This window comes from Homo sapiens, chromosome 19, assembly GCF_000001405.40.
Source record: "Homo sapiens chromosome 19, GRCh38.p14 Primary Assembly".
Lineage (NCBI taxonomy): Eukaryota > Metazoa > Chordata > Mammalia > Primates > Hominidae > Homo > Homo sapiens.
In genome coordinates, this window is record NC_000019.10 from 4,011,220 (window position 1) to 4,029,481 (window position 18,262).

General features: G+C 58.6%; 1 protein-coding gene across 3 annotated transcripts in view; it reads left to right on the forward strand.

Moving 5' to 3' along the window:
* The window catches only part of PIAS4 (protein inhibitor of activated STAT 4), a 31,651-nt gene that overhangs the window by 3,484 nt on the left and 9,905 nt on the right, over positions 1-18,262 (forward strand). For 2 of the 3 annotated variants that reach the window (NM_015897.4, XM_011528060.3), the window contains exons 2-7: positions 1,704-2,130; positions 12,817-12,901; positions 16,927-16,968; positions 17,291-17,381; positions 17,501-17,629; positions 17,712-17,817. In NM_015897.4, coding sequence (NP_056981.2) covers positions 1,704-2,130; positions 12,817-12,901; positions 16,927-16,968; positions 17,291-17,381; positions 17,501-17,629; positions 17,712-17,817 — 880 coding nt within the window. Of the gene's footprint in view, positions 1-1,703; positions 2,131-12,816; positions 12,902-16,926; positions 16,979-17,290; positions 17,382-17,500; positions 17,630-17,711; positions 17,818-18,262 lie in introns of those variants that run through there. The other variant, XM_017026868.2, reaches the window with a different exon arrangement.

Sequence of the window (18,262 nt, forward strand, 5' to 3'; positions counted from 1 at the left end):
TTAACACCCTTGACGCTTGAGCTTTCTCCCCATTCCTCCTGGAAGCTACTGTTTCCCACCACATCTCATTCATCCCAGGCCAGCTTCAGGGCTAAGGGTGGGTGGCCCTGAAACCCTGCCAGCCCATCCCTCGAGGACACCTGGCTTCTGCAGCCTGTTGAGGAGCCTTCCTTCCCCTTCAGGGTCCTACCCCTCATGGAGGTCAGGCCACTGCCAGTCTACCCCACCTCAAACACCAGGGTCAGCTGGGCTCTGCTGTTTGGTTTTTATTTCGCTGGAGAGGCCCGGCCAGGCGATGAGGGCCAGGTCCTGCCAAGCCTCATTTGTCGCTTTGACCCAGGTCCTGCAACAGCCCCTGTGGCTGCTATCTTCCCCTTGGACCGGTCCCCCAGGGACTCAGGGCAACGTGTGGAGGTGTGTTTGGTGTGGAGGTGTGTTTGGTGTGGAGGTGTGGGGGGTGTGGAGGTGTGTGGGGTGTGGAGGTGTGTGGGGTGTGGAGGTGTGTGGGGTGTGGAGGTGTGTGGGGTGTGGAGGTGTGTGGGGTGTGGAGGTGTGTGGGGTGTGGAGGTGTGTGGGGTGTGGAGGTGTGTGGGGTGTGGAGGTGTGTGGGGTGTGGAGGTGTGTGGGGTGTGGAGGTGTGTTTGGTGTGGAGCTGTGGGGTGTGGAGGTGTGGGGGGTGTGGAGGTGTGTGGGGTGTGGAGGTGTGTGGGGTGTGGAGGTGTGTGGGGTGTGGAGGTGTGTGGGGTGTGGAGGTGTGTGGGGTGTGGAGGTGTGTGGGGTGTGGAGGTGTGTGGGGTGTGGAGGTGTGTGGGGTGTGGAGGTGTGTGGGGTGTGGAGGTGTGTGGGGTGTGGAGGTGTGTTTGGTTGTCGTGAGCTGTGGGTATTTAGCACCACACAGAGCCCAGGATGGCCCCAGTGTCCACAGGGCCAAGGAGGAGAAACCCTGCCTGGGATGATCAGCAGATGTTTCGGAGGCCCCCACAGGCCCAGCCCTGTGTTGACATCCAGAGGGTAGTGTGGCAGCAAGAACCGCCCCTGGCTTCAGAGCCAGGCCTGGGTTCGAATCTTGGCGCTGCCACCTCTGAGCCGACAGTTCCTCATTTGTGACAGAGCTCACACACCAGCCTAGCAGGGGTGTTTTAAGGATCAGAGTTAAATATATAATCACATGACCGGCTTGGTTCCCGGCAGGTGATTAGTACTAAGTAAACTGTGGCTACCGTTGGCGAGACCGAAGGGAAAACATATCTGTGGCTGACATGGGTTGAGCGCCCGCCCAGCCAGTGCTTTATGTCATTATCCTCCCGACGTAGAGACTGAGGGTCAGAGAGGCATTTGGTGTTTGCCGGTAAGGCACTGGCAGAGGCTGTTTACAAGTAAAGCACAATTGTCAGTTCCTGCCCTGGGGATGCTTTCAGGCTGAAGACAGGGAAAGAGAACCTAAAATAGAAGGGGGGGCCTAGTCAGAGGCGCTTTTGCTGCGTTGGCGATGCTGGGGAAAGTTTGATGAGGAGGAGGGAGGGGGCAGGGCTTTGCTGGGAGGGGGCACCGTAGGGGCAGGGCACTCCACCAGCCCCAGCCAAGGCTGGCGCTTCCTGGCGAGTGGGTGTCTTTCACGGCCCCCACATCGGGGCCTGGCCTCCATGGAGTCCCCTGCCTCGCAGCTGTGTCCTCTGAGTGTGTGTGTGCTTGCTCCTCCTCAGAACATGGTGATGAGTTTTCGAGTCTCCGACCTTCAGATGCTCCTGGGTTTCGTGGGCCGGAGTAAGAGTGGACTGAAGCACGAGCTCGTCACCAGGGCCCTCCAGCTGGTGCAGTTTGACTGTAGCCCTGAGCTGTTCAAGAAGATCAAGGAGCTGTACGAGACCCGCTACGCCAAGAAGAACTCGGAGCCTGCCCCACAGCCGCACCGGCCCCTGGACCCCCTGACCATGCACTCCACCTACGACCGGGCCGGCGCTGTGCCCAGGACTCCGCTGGCAGGCCCCAATATTGACTACCCCGTGCTCTACGGAAAGTACTTAAACGGACTGGGACGGTTGCCCGCCAAGACCCTCAAGCCAGAAGTCCGCCTGGTGAAGCTGCCGTTCTTTAATATGCTGGATGAGCTGCTGAAGCCCACCGAATTAGGTGAGTGGTCACCCTGGGGAGGCTGCGACTGGAGGCTTCACCTAGGCCCCGTCGCCCAGCCCAGCCCAGCCACACAGCCGACTTCGAGTGATGTTCTCTGTGGCGCAGCCAGGGCGGGGAGCCACAGTGGCCAGGGGTGTCCTTCCTCGGAAGCAAAGGGACCATCTTTGATATTGGTCACCCCTTGCTGTGTTACAAGTTACCCCGAAATGGAGCCACTGGAAGCAGGGGGCGTCTGTTAGCTCTCAGGAACCTGTGAGCTGTGTTGCGGGGCATTGGGGCTTGGGGGCTCTCATGAGGCTCAGTCAGGCTGGAGCCACCTCATCTGGAGGCTCGACCAGGGCTGGAGCAGGCACATCCTTGTGTGGTGGCTGGCAGGCCTCAGCTCCTCGCCAGCTCTTGGCCACAGTCCCCAGGTCCTCATGGTGCGGACTCCTGCACGGATTGCCTGGGCGTCCTCAGCCTGGTGGCTCCCTCACCCTAGGGTAGCGAGTGTGCACCTCCAAGCTGGGAGCTGGAGCCCTTTTTATAACCCAACCTCGGACACGCCTCGCCATCTCCCCCACAGAGTCCGTTGCTCACACAGACTCTGTGGCGCATGCAGGGACCACACCAGGCTGTGACTGCCAGGGCCAGGGGTGACCAGGGCCACCTGGGAGCCTGGTTTCCCTGCTTATTCCCCTTGGAAAGGGGGCTGGCCAGTGGCATCCTTCCCCCGGGCTCTGGTTCCTCGCTGGCAGCCTGCAGGAGTGTCCTTGGTCAGTGGGCTCAGGTCACTGCCAGGCTGTGTGCACCGGGCGTGCTGGGGGTTCAGGGCGATCCCAGGCGGAGGAGAGGTGCTGGGCTCCACGCTTCTCTCTCTCGTGTCTTTGTCTGCAAGCACTGACTGAGCAGGAACTGTGTGTCAGGACCTCATAGCCCACAGCAGTGTGGACAGGCCCCTGGTGCCTCCCCAGCAGCCGTGGCCATTCAGGCTGCAGGTGGGCATTGAGCCCAGTCTCTGCCTCAGCCATAGCCCTGAGCTCAGGGCCAGGGAGGCCTCCGCAGCCCCAGCCCCCAGGGCAGAGAGAGTGTGCAGCCTCTGGGACTCCCAGATAGGGAGCGGAACGTCCTGGGCCTTTGCGGACCTGTGCCTTGAGGCGCTCAGATTTCACCAAGTCCTCTGTGTGCCTGGAGGTCTCTCCGTCTCTTCTTCCTGCCTCCCCTCCCCTGCCCCCACTCTTTCCTTCGCACAGTAAACATCGGAGCGCCTGCTGGGTGGGTGCGTGATGGGCACCAGGCGTGGGCACGCAGCAGGGAACAGGACCAAGGCCACGAGGTTCAGAACCCTGTGCATGCCCCCTCCCACCCTGCTGACCCAGCAACCTGCCTGGCCCCTGCTGTGGCCTGAGGGCCCTTCTCTGGCACGCTTCAGTCCATTGGGTGCCAGCTGGCCCCCGCTCCCCTGCCCAGGGAGGCAGCGTTGATGGGGGTAGGGGGAAGGGGAACTGGCTGCTTTTCCCCTCCCATCTGCAGCCCTGGGACTTAGTGAGGTTAGGCTGGAGGGGCTGTGCTTCCAGGTGAGGATGGAGGAAGTGGAGGAGGGAGGAAGGTGCTGTCGGTGGTTCCTGCGGCAGCCGAGGCTCCTCCCTCCAGCCTGAGGCTCCGCCTTCCAAGTGAGGCTCCGCCTCCACCTTTTTTCTCTTGCAGGAGGTGTCTAGCAGCAGCCTCCTGGGGAGCAGGTTGGCCCAGTGGCACCTGTCCTGGGGGACTCAGGGTCTTGGCCTGAGTTCCATCGGACTGACTTTCCCAGCCTTTGCTCTCTCATGAGGGAAGCTGTTCCCCCTGCCAGGTTCTTGGGCAGAGCTGGCTGTCTCTGAAGGTTGGGCCTTGGGAAGGACCTGCATCACAGGGAGGCTGGGCTTTCCTGGGAGCGGCAGGGCAGGCTTGGTCCAGGGCGGGGGACGGGGCTGACCAGCTTCCTTCCTGCACGGGGACCAGTAGCTCCGTCCCACAATACATCGCTGTGCCCTGAGCCACCAGGGACCCCGGTCACCTGATCTCCGGGAGAGCCTGCTCCCCTGTCTACACCAGTGTGCCTGTGCTGGCGGCTCAGAACAAAGAGGCCATCCCCACCCTGCCTCTCTCTCCCACTGGCTCTCTCTCCATCTCAGGCCGCCAGGTGAACCTCCTTTCCTGGATTCCGTGCTCTTGGGGGACTCCCTGGGGGCCACCTCGGTCCTCAGAAGTTTCCTGGAGCATAGCCCCTGGCCCCGAAGCAGTGGTCCCCATGGTTTTAGGACCTGAGATGCCATCTGTCCGCCCTGACCCTGGGCTGTGTCCCTCCCCAGGGTGCACTCTGTGGTGCTGGCCTTGCCCGGGGGCCGCCTCCGGAGGACCCAGTTCCACCGGCTTCTCCCTCACTCCCTCCTCTGGCTGTGACCCACCGTCCAGCGTGAGGCCCACCGCTCTGGTCTGTTTCCCCGGAATAGCCGCCGGCCGGCTCCAGGATGGAGACCGCGCCAGGCGGACAGGAGCCATAAATCACGCGGTGCGGAATGCTGGGCTGGGGGAGGGGGTGACAGAGCCACAGAGCAGGCTGCAGGGGCCTCAGGCTGTAGGTGATCGGCTCCAGTGGGAGGTGCCGTGTGTGGGGACGGGGCTGGCACCCAGAACAGTGCGGAGAACGGCCCAAGGTCGCACAGCGGCCTGCCTTCCCTCCTCCCGAGCCGACTGGCTCCTGCTCCTGAGCAGAGGCTCTGGCCTGGACCTCTGCAGGCTGGGAACCCTGTCCTGCCTGTCGGCAAGGAAGCCGGCGCCACCCCTTTCCAGCCTGCGCCACCTGGGGAGTCCGGCTAGGGAGCCTGACCCTCCTGTCAGGGTACTTGGGAAGAGAGGCTGTCAGGAAATGTGGGGCAGAAGGAAGGATACATGCTGGCCGGGCACAGAGCTGCTCCTCCAGGGTCTTGGCCCGCAGCGGGCACCCCGAGGAATCTGCCTGCCCACCCGCCTGCTGTGCAGAGTGGAGCCCCTGTCACCACGACTCCAGATGCCCCCAGAGGCAGATAGCCCTGGTACCAGCCAAGAGCCGCCGGTCTGGCATGTGCTGTGCTGTGTGTAGGCACCTGTGCCCTTCAGCCTCTGAAGCCCTTGGGCCAGCATTGCCCAGGCCACAGCAAGGTAGCGTGGTCCCTGCTCAGGTGCAGCACAGAAGTGCCAGGTGATAAGTCTCATGGCACACGGAGGGCTTTCAGGGGCAGCTGTCAGTAGCAGGAGCCATTTACTCTACATTTGTGAGGAGGTAGCAGTCAGGAAGGCCTCCTGGAGGCAGCAGCGTTTCAGTCCAGACCCGAGGGTGACTCTCAAGAAGCCAGGCAGAGAGGAGGGGGCAGGGGAGCGTATTCCAGGCAGAGGGCAGTGAGGGCAGAGGCCGATGGCCAGAGAGGGCTCATTCATGGGGCTGAATGGAGTTCATTGTGGCCAGAACATGGTGCGCCCAGGAGGAGGGACGCAGTAGCCTGGGCGCGGGCGGCAGAGGCTGGAACCCGAGAATGGTGGGCCCGGGGAAGGCTGGGGGCTACCCTGCTTGCCCCGAGGGCTTCAGCGCCCCTGAGGTTCTGGTATGATTTTTGGGGTCAGTGAGGAAACTGAAGTGCAGGAGGCAAGTGGCCGTCTGCCTTCCACAGCCAGGCCTGCTGCCCGCCCAGGCCCACCATCTGTCCGTCTGCACACTGGGGGCCTGGATGGGCACGGAGCGTCCTGTGTCACTGTCCCACATGTGGGGTAGTCTGACCCACTCAGCCCGCTGGCACTTCCCATACCTGTGGTTGGGGAACAGGGGGACTCCGCCAGCTCTGCCCCAGGTCTTGGCCTTCAGGTTGAAGAGGAGGGATGGGCCCACTGCTACCAGATGGGGGGCTGCCAGCAGCCACCCCCATGTCCCGCTAGTCCTTCTCCCATCCCCTGTGGCCCCCTGCCCTGCCCAGCCCAGCTCCCCAACCTGCCCGCTGGCTGCAGCCTCCTGCTCTGCTTCCTGCCCACTGGTCCCCCTCCCATGGCAGCCTGTGAATGTTTTCACTGATGGGTAGAGTGGTCGGCATCACCCCTGTGCCTAGCCAGGGGCACCTGTTCCCCGCCCCTCCAGGACAGTGCCCCCTGTGTCCCTCATACCTGACTGTGCTGCCTCTACTCTTGATCTGGGGGACCTGGGTTGGGGAATCAGTGCTGGTAGCTCTTAGCTGGACAGGGTGGGTCCGGGAGTTAGAGAACTTGTATGTGCCGGGGAGGGGACAGCCTGGGGAGGGGGCCAGCACATGGGCCAGCTGGAGGGGGAATGGTCCCATCCGATCAGCTTTTTTTTTTTTTTTTTTTGAGATGGAGTCTGACTGTCGCCCGTGCTGGAGTGCAGTGGCGCGATCTTGGCTTACTACAGCCTCCTGGCTTCAAGCGATTCTCCTGCCTCAGCCTCCCAAGTAACTGAGATTACAGGCACGCACCACCACACCCAGCTAATTTTATGTACTTTTAGTAGAGACGAGGTTTCACCATCTTGACCAGGCTAGTCTTGAACTCCTGACTTCAGGTGATCCACCTACCTTGGCCTCCCAAAGTGCTGGGGTTACAGGCGTGAGCCACTGCGCCCAGTCTCATTTTTTGTATTTTTAATGGAGACGGGGTTTCGTCATGTTGACCAGGCTTGTCTTGAATTCCTAACCTCAAGTGATCCACCTGCCTCGGCCTCCCAAAGTGCTGGGATTATAGGCGTGAGCCACCAGGCCCGGCCCCAGTCAGCCTTTTAAAAACTCCCTGTGTTTCATTTCTATTTAAACTTGTACAATTATGCGCTTGTCCTAGAAAACTGGAGTCAACAGCAGAGCAGTCCGGCCGGCGCCCTGCTGCCCGAGTGGGCCGCCTCGGTACACCGGGCCGGTGCTTGCCGCCTTCTCCCTTTGCATGTGTGATTGTAGGAATGTGTGGCTGTGTCCTGGCTGCTATTTTATAACCACCCCCCATACTGTGAGCATCTGCTCACAGCGTTAAATATTCATCGTCAGCAGCATCTCGTGAGGCTCCCTGGCAGCCTTGGGTGGAGCCAACGGCTGGGCCCTTCTTGTTGGGCTCTCGGATCGGGCCCAGGGGCTGCTTTTCGTGCCCGGGCCGGAGGGCCTGGCTGAGCACCTCACCCCAGAACCGGCTCTGCCTGGCAGGGCCCCCGTGGTCACCTGATCTTGCACCTGGCCCCAAAGGTGCATCTGGTTCAGTGGTGCCCTTGCCTTGGTCCCGTGGCCTTGGATGCTGGGCAGCCCACGAAACCATCTCCCCCTTGGGGAACTTCATGCTTCAGTGGCCCAACAAGAAGGAGCAGCAGAGTGATGTAGGGAAACTGAGTCGCTCCTTAGGAGGAGAAGGTTTGGAGAAAAGTGAGGTGGCGGGGGGTGCGGTTTTTAAATGGGGTGCTCAGCGAAGGCTTTCCTTCTGGTGACATTTGTACAAAGACAAATATAGGGCCATGAGGCTGGTCGGGGGAGGAAGGTTCCAGAAGAGGGAATGGCAGGTGCGGAGGCCCTGATGCAGCATGGCTGGTGGGGCCCAAGCAGGAGGCCAGGGTGGTGGCCGTGTGTGCGCCGGGGTGTGTGTGGCCCTGAGCAGGGGTACTGAGGGTCAGGGGTCTCCTGCGGAGCCATCCCAGGGGGCGGGCTCTGGCTGCTGAGACCGGCAGAGCTGGGGGCAGTCGTCTGCACCGGGCGGGATTTGAAAACAGAGCTGACAGGACTGGCTGAGGGAGTGGATGTTTGCAGGACAGCAGAGACGGGGGCTTCATGGATGCCACCTGGGTTTCTGGCCCCAAACAGCTGACCCCGAGGGCAGAAGGGCAGGTTTGAGGGAGACCCCACAGCCCCTTCCCCAGCATAGGGGGGCCGGGTGTTTGGGGGGAACCGTCAGCGGCCCGGGGCCAGTGGCACAGCAGTGAGAGCACAGGGCACCTCCCAGGCCCCCAGCAGAGAAGCACAGCCCGGTCTCCCCCAGAGGGAGGAGCCCTCCCAGGGCAGGGACCCCAGAGTCTTGTTCTTCAATGACTGGGCCCTGTCTGCCCCAGGCATGGGCTGGCAACAATCCCTGGCCAGCTGGGTGGCTCCCTTGCTGCCTGCTGGGGACCCACCCTTCTCCCCTACCTCCTTCTGAGACACTGAGGGGTGGGGTGTCTGTGTTTTCACCTCCGACCCAGCCTGGAAGCTCAAGGCCCAGCTCAGGTGTAGGCTCCCGTGCAGCCTCCCTGCCCCTGAACCATTGCTCCCCTGGCACTCAGGGCAGACCTGGGCGCGTCTGCAGGTGGCCTGTGTGCCCCCCTCCCAATTAGGCGGCCTTCCTCAAGGGCCCAGCCGGGACTCCACAGCCCATCACCTCTGCAGAGACTGGCTGTGCCCTGAGCATATAAACGGGAACCGGCTGTGGCAGCCCCCTCTTCCTGAGGGCCAGCCACAGACCCGGCACCGGTCCCCGAAGAAACAGGTCAACATGGGCGGGACGTGCAGGCTGAGGCCACAGAGGCCCTGGCAGGGCTGGGAGCCGAGCCCAGGGAGTCTGGCTTTTTTCTTTTTTTTTTTTTTGAAATGGAGTCTCGCTGTCGCCCGGGCTGGAGTGCAGCGGCAGGATCTCAGCTCACTGCAAGCTCCGCCTCCCAGGTTCACGCCATTCTCCTGCCTCAGCCTCCCGAGTAGCTGGGACCACAGGCGCCTGCCACCACGCCCGGCTAATTTTTTGTATTTTTAGTAGAGACGGGGTTTCACCATGTTAGCCAGGATGGTCTCTATCTCCTGACCTCATGATCCGACTGCCTCGGCCTCCCAAAGTGCTGGGATTACAGGCGTGAGCCACTGCACCCGGCTTCTCGTGGGTTTTAATTGAGAAAGTTCCAAGACAGTGCTGGTAGTTGAGGTGCGATCCCATGGCTCCGGTTCTTGTAAAGGCCCTGTCGTGGGTGCAGGCCACACCACTGTGTGCACTGCCGTCCTGGGAGCACCTGGGAGCACAGACATAGCCTGCGAAGCTGATGAGCTCCAGCCTTTACCAGGGGCAGTTCGCCATCCCTGTTCTAAAGGGCTTGCCTGTCATCTCGTTGTCTCGTCTCCCGGCCACTGCAAGGCTGCCATTGTGGCCAGATTCTCGCTCCCCCACGCTCTTCCGATATTTTTTACACTTATAAACAAATAGGTGTTTACTCAGATGCCTTCTCTCCATTTTCATTACACAAGTGATAGCAGGACGTGCACGCTGCTCAGCGTTTTTGCTTTGTATCTAAATATATTTTTTAATGTAGACACAGTCTTGCTATGTTGCCCAGGCTGGTCTCGAACTTCTGAGCCCAAGCAGTCCTCTCACCTCAGCCTCCTGAGTAGCGGGAATGACAGCTGCACACCAGCACACCTGGCTCAGGCTTATTTAAAAACTTTTTTTAGAGACAAGGTCTCACTGTGTTGCCTGGGCTGGGCTCCAACTCCTGTGCTACAGCGATCCTCCCACCTTGGCCTCCTGAAGGGTTGGGGTTACAGGCATGAGCCGCTGTGCCCAGCCTGCAAGTTTCTTTGAACGCATGTTTCCATGTATTGAGGGAAAATACTTTGGAGTGGGATTCCTGATTCCTGGGTGATAGGGTAGGTCTGTGCTTACCTTTATAAGGGTAGTTTCCCAGAGTGATGGTACTGTCTTATAACCCCACCAGCAGAGAGTTCTGATTGCTCTACACCTTTGCCATCTCTTAGAGTTGCCAGTCCTTTCATTTTAGCCATGCTAGTGGGTGTGTAGAGAGGTATTTTATTTTATTTTACCTCATTTTATATTATTGATACAGAGCCTCACTCTGTCACCCAGGCTGGAGTGCAGTTACACAATCTCGGCTCACTGCAACCTCCGCCTTCTGGGTTTAAGCGATTCTCCTCAGCCTCCCGAGTAGCTGGGATTAGAGGCGTGTGTCACCATGCCTGGCTAATTTTTGTATTTTTAGTAGAGATGGGGTTACCATATTGTCCAGGCTGGTCTTGAACTCCTGACCTCAAGTGATCCACCTGCCTCGCCTCCACAGTGCTGGGATTCCAGGCATGAGCCACCGCACCTGGCCTGGGTGTGTAGAGAGGATTTAAACCGGTCTTGGATTTCTACACAAATCGCAGGGGCCTGAAATACTGGCTGATATTTTGTGGAGGATTTTACATCTGTGTTCATGAGGGGTATTCATCGGGAATTTTCCTTCCTTGATGCTGAGTTGTGAGGTTTTGGTATCAGAGTTATGCTGGCCTTGTAAAATAAGAAGTATGCTTTCCTTCTCTGTTTTTTGAAAGAGTTTATGTACGGTTTATGTGGTTTCTTTCCAAAATGTTTTATAGAATTCACCGATATGGACCTGCATTTTCTTTTTCTTTTTTTTTTTTTTTTTTTTTGAGATGGGGTCTGATTCTGTTGCCCAGGCTGGAGTGCAGTGGTACGATCATGGCTCACTGCAGCCTCCACTTCCTGGGTTCAAGCAATCCTCCTGCCTCAGCCTCCAAAGTAGCTGGGACTACAGGTGGTGTGCACCTCCACACCTGGCTAATTTAAAAATTTTTTGTAGAGACAAGGTCTCACTTTGTTGCCCAGGCTGGCCTCAAACTCCTGGGCTCAAGCAATCCACCCACCTCAGCCCCCAAAGTGCTGGGATTACAGGCATGAGCCACCATGCCCAATCTGGACCTGCAGTTTTCAGAAAAGGTTTTAATTATGGATCCAACTTCCTTAACAGGTAAAGAGCTTTTCAAACTTCCTGTATCTTTTGGTACCCGTTTTGGTAATTTGCATCTTTGGGAGGATTTGTCCATGTCACTAAGTTGTCAGATTCATTGGCATAAAGTTTCACCTTTTATTCCCCTATTGAACCGAAAAGCTGTAGGGTCTGTACTATTGTTCTTTCATTTCTGATATTGGTAGTTTGTGTTCTCACTGTCTTTTTGTTGTTCAGCTAGAGTTTTGTTTTTTTTGTTGTTGTTGTTGTTTTTGGTGGTTTTTTTTGAGACAGAGTCTCGCTCTGTAGCCCAGGCTGGAGTGCAGTGGCACGATCTTGGCTCACTGCAAGCTTCGCCTCCCTGCAAGCTCCGCCTCCCAGGTTCGCGCCATTCTCCTGCCTCAGCCTCCCTAGTAGCTGGGACTGCAGGCGCCTGCCACTACACCCAGCTAATTTTTTGTATTTTTAGTAGAGATGGGGTTTCACCGTGTTAGCCAGGATGGTCTCGATCTCCTGACCTCGTGATCCACCCCCCTCGGCCTCCCAAAATGCTGGGATTACAGGCGTGAGCCACCGCGCCTGGCCGTTTGTTTTTGTTTTTGTTTTTTTGGGTTTTTTTGGAAACAGTCTCACTCTGTCGCCCAGGCAGTGGTGTGATCTCCACTCACTGCAACCTTTGCCTCTCAGCTTCAGACAATTCTCCTGCCTCAGCCTCCCAAGTAGCTGGGATTACAGGCGCCCGAACCAGGCCTGGCTATTTTTTTTTTTTTTGAGACACCACACCCTGCTGTTTTTTTAAGAGATGCGGCAGCCAGGCGCCGTAGCTCATGCCTGTAATTCCAGCACATTGGGAGGCCGAGGTGGGCAGATCACCTGAGGTCGGGAGTTCGAGAGCAGCCTGGCCAACATGGAGAAACCCTACCTCTACTAAAAATAGAAAATTAGCCGGGCGTGGTGGCTCATGCCTGTAATCCCAGCTGTTTTGGGAGGCTGAGGCAGGAGGATCACTTGAACCCAGGAGGTGGAGGTTGCAGTGAGCTGAGATTGTGCTATTGCAGTCCAGCCTGGGCAACAAGAGTGAAACAAAGTCTCAAAAAAAAAAAAAAAAATGGGGCTGGCTGGGCACAGTGGCTCACGCCTGTAATCCCAGCATTTTGAGAGTTTGAGATGGGCGGATCACCTGAGGTCACGAGTTCGAAACCAGCCTGGCCAACATGGCGAAATCCCATCTCTACTAAAAATACAAAAATTAGCCAGGCTTGGTGGCTATTCGGGAGGTTGAGGCAGGAGAATCGCTTAAACCCGGGAGACGGAGGTTGCAGTCAGCCGAGATCGTGCCATTGCACTCCAGCCTGGGCGACAGGGTAAAACTCCATCTCCAAAACAAAACAAAACAAAACAAAACAAACAAAAACCAATGTTTTCTGACTGCGCCTCTGCCTGTCAGTCCAGTTGTAAGTAAGAGGGTAGGGCCCAGGCTTGTGAGCACCATGGCCTTCATCCCGTCAGTACCCCCCGCACCACCTCTGTCCGGGTGACGTGGCCACCCTGCAGGCAGGAGGAGAGCAAGGGCCGGGTCCGGTTTGTGCTCAGGAGAGAGGAGGTATGGCAGTGTCCTGCTGGCCTGGCTGGGTCCAGCTCTCCCCGCCAGGCAGCTCGGCACTTTTCGGTTTCCTAAGTAGACGCCTGCATCCCACAGGCTGCGAAGGTCACCCAGCAATCTGAGTGGCCGTCAACAGGACACAGGCCATGGTGAGCGGCCCCGAGAAGGGGATGGGCGGGAGTCCTCCCTCATCCTCCTTCCTGGGCGGCCCCCACCTCTGCCCCACATATCTGTCCAGCCAACTTCCCATTTCCTGTTTCCTGGTCTGAAGAGGCGCAGGCTGGGAAAAGCGACTGGGCTCGGGGGACCTGCCAGGGACCAGACATGCCCCTGACCCCGTGTTTGTCTTCAGTCCCACAGAACAACGAGAAGCTTCAGGAGAGCCCGTGCATCTTCGCATTGACGCCAAGACAGGTGGAGTTGATCCGGAACTCCAGGTGTGCGGCACCTCCCCCAGCCCAGCACCCCACCGCCCGCCCACCCACTTTCTCCTGGGCTCACTGGGGAGAGCCGGCAGCCACGTCCACTGCAGGCCTCGCTCGGGCTCAGTCCAGAACCGTGCTGCAAGGCAGTGGCCGGGTTTGCTTCCTTCCAGAAAACCCCATCCTGGGTCTCAGGTGCTGGCCTGTGTGCCCACTGCCTGTGCCCTGCAGCCTGCTAGAGAGAGGCGGACTGACTGTGCCCTTTTAACACGGTCTTGCCCTCCTGGGCCCATCCTGGGCATTGCAGGGAGCGGAGGAGCATTCCTCGCCTCCACCCACGCCATGACAAGAACACACCCCTGTTGTGACAACCACAGATGTCCCCAGACATTGTCCAGTGTCCCCTAGGGCAGGATAACCCGGGCGAGACCTCCCTGGGTTAGGGGATTCCACGTATCCCCAAGAGACTCTGTGTCCCATGATCCTCTGCCCTGCTGAGGTCCCAGAAGGCTGCATACATTGAAATCCACACCCTGAATTGGAGGGGGAGAAAGTAGGTGAATCCCAGGAGCTGGGGGTCCCCGGTTTACACCGCCCGCCTTAGGAATTTATTCTGGTGTCCAGCATGAGCAGGAAGTTAAGTCAGGTGTTTTTTTGTTTTTTTTTTTTGAGACTGAGTGTAGCTCTTGTTATCCAGGCTTCCAGGCTGGAGTGCAGTGGCGCGATTTTGGCTTCCTGCAACCTCCACCTGCTGGATTCAAGCAATTCTCCTGCCTCAGCCTCCCAAGTAGCTGGGATTACAGGCGCTCACTACCACGCCCGGCTAATCTTGTATTTTTAGTAGAGATAGGGTTTTGCCATGTTGATCAGGCTGGTCTCGAATTCCTGACTCAGGTGATTCACCCACCTCAGCCTCCCAGAATGCTGGGATTACAGGCGTGAGCCACTGCGCCTGGCGGAAGTCAGGTTTTTTCCCAGTTATATAATGAATACGGGGTTTCCCCCTCCATACCGTGGATAGTGAGGTGGGATGGTTCCCTCGGTGGGGCCGTCCTGGGCACTGCAGGCTGCTGAGCAGCATCCCTGGCCTCCACCTGCTCTGTGCCAGGAACACCCCTAACTCTGACAACCACAGATGTCCCCAGACACAGCTCGGTGTCGCCTGGGGCAGGGTCGTCCTCAGATGAGGACGGTTGAACTGTGGCAGGTGAGGGGCCAGTGTGGCTGCCCTGCGCTCTGCTCCTCCCTCAGTCTCTCCGAGGCTGTACTGCCTCCAGCTGAGACAGATTCCTGCTGGGCAGGCTAATGGTAGGTGCTGGGCCCTTAGGACAGGGGAGGCCATTTGCCCAGGTCACCCCTGAGTCCATGGCAGGGCTGGGCCGGGCGCCCCCATTTAATGCCTAGCTTCTCGTGCCCAGCCGCTTCAGACCCACCGCCCCCACCTGCTGTGGGGCCAGGTTCCTGGGGCCTCCCAGCCTGGCCCTCACACCTAGTAAGGGTTCAGATCCAGCCGAGCCAGGCTTGGCCATGGAGGCCTCTCTGCCTGGGTGACCCAAGGTGGCGACCTCGTCTTTCTCAGCCTCGTCTTCCTTGTCTATGTACCTGGGTCAGCACAGCCTCCACCTGCACTGGGTCCCTGCTGCAGAGTGCTCAGAGCCAGCCACACAGTATAAAAAAATCAGTTTGGGCTGGGCACGGTGGCTCACAACTGTAATCGCAGCCCTTTGGGAGGCCAAGGCAGGTGGATCACGAGGTCAGAAGATCGAGACCATCTTGGCTAACACAGTGAAACCCCGTCTCTACCAAACATACAAAAAAATTAGCCGGGTGTGGTGACGGGCGCCTGTAGTCCCAGCTACTCGGGAGGCTGAGGCAGGAGAATGGCGTGAACCCGGGAGGCGGAGCTTGCAGTGAGCCGAGATCCTGCCACTGCACTCCAGCCTGGGCAACAAAGGGAGACTCCGTCTCAAAAAAAAAAAAAAAAAAAAGTTTGGTTTTCTCCTCAGAAAGCTTCTGGACATTTCTTTTTCTTTTTCTTTTTTTTTTTTGAAATGAAGTCGCTCTGTCGCCAGGCTGGAGTGCAGTGGCGTGATGTCGGCTCACTGCAACTTCTGCCTCCCAGGTTCAAGCGATTCTCCTGACTCAGCCTCCCGAGTAGCTGGGACTACAGGTGCGCACCACCACGCCTGGCTAATTTTTGTATTTTTAGTAGAGACAGGGTTTCACCATGTTGGCCAAGATGATCTCAATCTCTTGACCTCGTGATCCACCCCACATCTGCCTCCCAAAGTGCTGGGATTACAGGCGTGAGCCACCCTGCCCATCCCACATTTCTTTTTCTTATGTCGAGATATGATTTGCATACCATAGAATATACAGTTTTTAAGGGTGTCATCGAGTGGGTTCTCGTGGATCAGTAGGTATCGCAGCTCCCACCACTGCCTAGTCTCAGGGCAGTCATGTCCATCCCCAGCAGCTGCCACCCTTCATCCACTGGCCCCCACGCATCCCCTCCTGTCTGTAAATGGGTCTGTCCTGGACATTTCATAGAAGTGGAATCACATACTATGTGGCTTTCGTTTATTATTATTATTTAAGACAGAATCTCACTCTGTCGCCCAGGCTGGAGTGCAGTGTCGCGATCTCAGTTCACTGCAATCTCCGCCTCCCAGGTTCAAGTGATTCTCTTGCCCCAGACTTCTGACTAGCTAGGATTACAGGCGTGCACCACCACACTCAGCTAATATTTGTATTTTTTTTGAGACAGAGTCACACTCCGAGGCCCAGGCTGGAGTGCAGTGGCACGATCTTGGCTCACTGCAAGCTCTGCCTCCTGGGTTCACGCCATTCTCCTGCCTCAGCCTCCCAAGTAGCTGGGACTACAGGCACCCGCCACCACGCCTGGCTGATTTTTTTTTTTGTATTTTTAGTAGAGACGGGGTTTCACCATGATAGCCAGGAGGGTCTCGATCTCCTGACCTTGTTATCCGCCCGCCTCGGCCTCCCAAAGTGCTGGGATTACAGGCGTGAGCCACTGCACCTGGCCTAATTTTTGTATTTTTAGTAGAGACGAGGTTTCACCATATTGCCCAGGCTTGTCTCGAACTCCTGACCTCAAGTGACCCACCCACCTCCGCCTCCCAAAGTGCCAGGGTTACTGGCGTGAGCCACCTGCCTTGTGTGTCCTTTCGTGTCTGGCGTCTCTCACTGGGTGGGACATCCTCACGGTGCACCTGTGCTGAGGCCTGGGTCTGAGCCTGGCTCCTTTCCATGGCTGGGTCGCGTCCCGTGCGTGTTGGTCCTTCGGTCTACGGAAGGACACTCAGGATGCTGCTAGTTTGTGGCTGTTGTGGTCAGTTCTGCTGTGAACATCCACGGATGCGTCTTTGGGTAGATAGACTTTTTCCTCTTCTTCTGGGGGCGTTTCTTGTTAAAGTTTATCCTCAGGTGTTACTGGTTTTTGTTTTTTTTTTTTTGGAGAGTGTTTCTCTTTGTTACCCAGGCTGGAGTGCAGTGGTGCAATCATAGCTTGCAGCCTGTGCCTCCATGGGTTCAGACGATCCCCCTGCCTCAGCCTCCAAGCAGCTGGGACCACAGGTGTGCACCACCACGCCTGGGTAATTTTTTGTGGAGACAGTTTCACCATGTTGCGCAGGCTCGTCTCAAATTCCTGGGCTCAAGAGCTCCGCCAGCCTTGACCTCCCAAACTGGGTGTTTTCTTGCCATTGTGAGCCAGCTGCTAGATTCCCGCATGCACGTTTTAGCTATGTTTCTTCGCAGGGAGAGGCACCTGGCTGCCCTCTCTGGTTCAGGGTTTTGCTGTGGATTCTGTTGCATTTTCCAGGGAGGCCAGCCCCTCTCCTGACCTCACAGCCACTCCTCTCACCCAGCCCGTACAAAAGAGTCCTGGGCCTCAGTTTCCCAGCTCTGGGGGAGGGAGCCTTGTGGTGTGGCGGTCTCCACCTTGTCGGGTGGGCTGGGGTCACGCCCTCCTCACTCAGCTCTCCTTTCCTTTCCTCTGGTTTGCTCCACACCCACAGGGAACTGCAGCCCGGAGTTAAAGCCGTGCAGGTCGTCCTGAGGTATGCCCAGGTGTGCCCGCGACCCCAGGGCTGGACCCCCAGCCACCCGCCCCTCCCCGCCCCCCAGTCCTGGCCCAGGCCCTTCTCAGTCTCCCCTGCTAACAGCAGAGCCCAGCTCTCCTCACCTGCTGTCTATCCCTGTCTGGGGATACATCACCATCCGACCCCCACTCAGGCCACACCCGGGGGCCCTGATACCCCCCGTGTCACATTCTCCGGTGCCCCCATCACTGCCGCCTGGCTACCACTCGTGTACCCCCGCAGCAGCCTAGTCCCTCCTGTGCGCCCCCTCCCCGCCCCATGGTCCCTGTTGTCGTTGCAGAATCTGTTACTCAGACACCAGCTGCCCTCAGGAGGACCAGTACCCGCCCAACATCGCTGTGAAGGTCAACCACAGCTACTGCTCCGTCCCGGTGAGCATGCCCCGCCCCCGCGTCGGCTGCACGGGTTTGGGGGGCGTGGAGGGAGGGTGGGGGCCGTCGGATTTCCCAGCCGCTCTTGGCTCGAGGCTGAGCGGCCCATCTGCTTGCAGGGCTACTACCCCTCCAATAAGCCCGGGGTGGAGCCCAAGAGGCCGTGCCGCCCCATCAACCTCACCCACCTCATGTACCTGTCCTCGGCCACCAACCGCATCACTGTCACCTGGGGGAACTACGGCAAGGTGAGTGCGTGCCCGGGTGCCCACCCTGCCCCCCAACCCCGGCCCCGTCCTGCCAGCCCTGACCCCTTCCTTCTGTCCCCAGAGCTACTCGGTGGCCCTGTACCTGGTGCGGCAGCTGACCTCATCGGAGCTGCTGCAGAGGCTGAAGACCATTGGGGTAAAGCACCCGGAGCTGTGCAAGGCACTGGGTGAGCAGCTCAGGCCACCTCGGCCGAGGGGTGCCAAGTCCACCCTGGAAACCCGCCCTGTGCTGGGTGAAGCGGGGGGCCCTGCACCCGGAGGAGATCGATCAGGGGCCGCCTGTCACTCTGGGGGTCCATGGCCCCCCGGCTGTGGCTGGGGAGGTCTCTGGAGGATACGGATGGCAGAGGGGGCACTTGGCAGTGGGAGCTGCTGTGCGGAGGCCTGTGGGGTCACACCTCGTGTTGCTGGCCCCAGGTGCTCCAGCCCACAGGGGTCTAAGCAGCAGAAGAGCTGGAGCCTCATTCCGGGACAGCACAGAGGCCGGGAGGGGTGAGAGGAGCACAGAGGGAGCTGTGGTCTAAGCAGCCCCTTCTCGTTGCCTCAGCGGGGCCGAGGGTGCTGCGGGACCTGGCGGGTCACGGACGGCCAGGGTCGTGGAGGCAGTTGCTG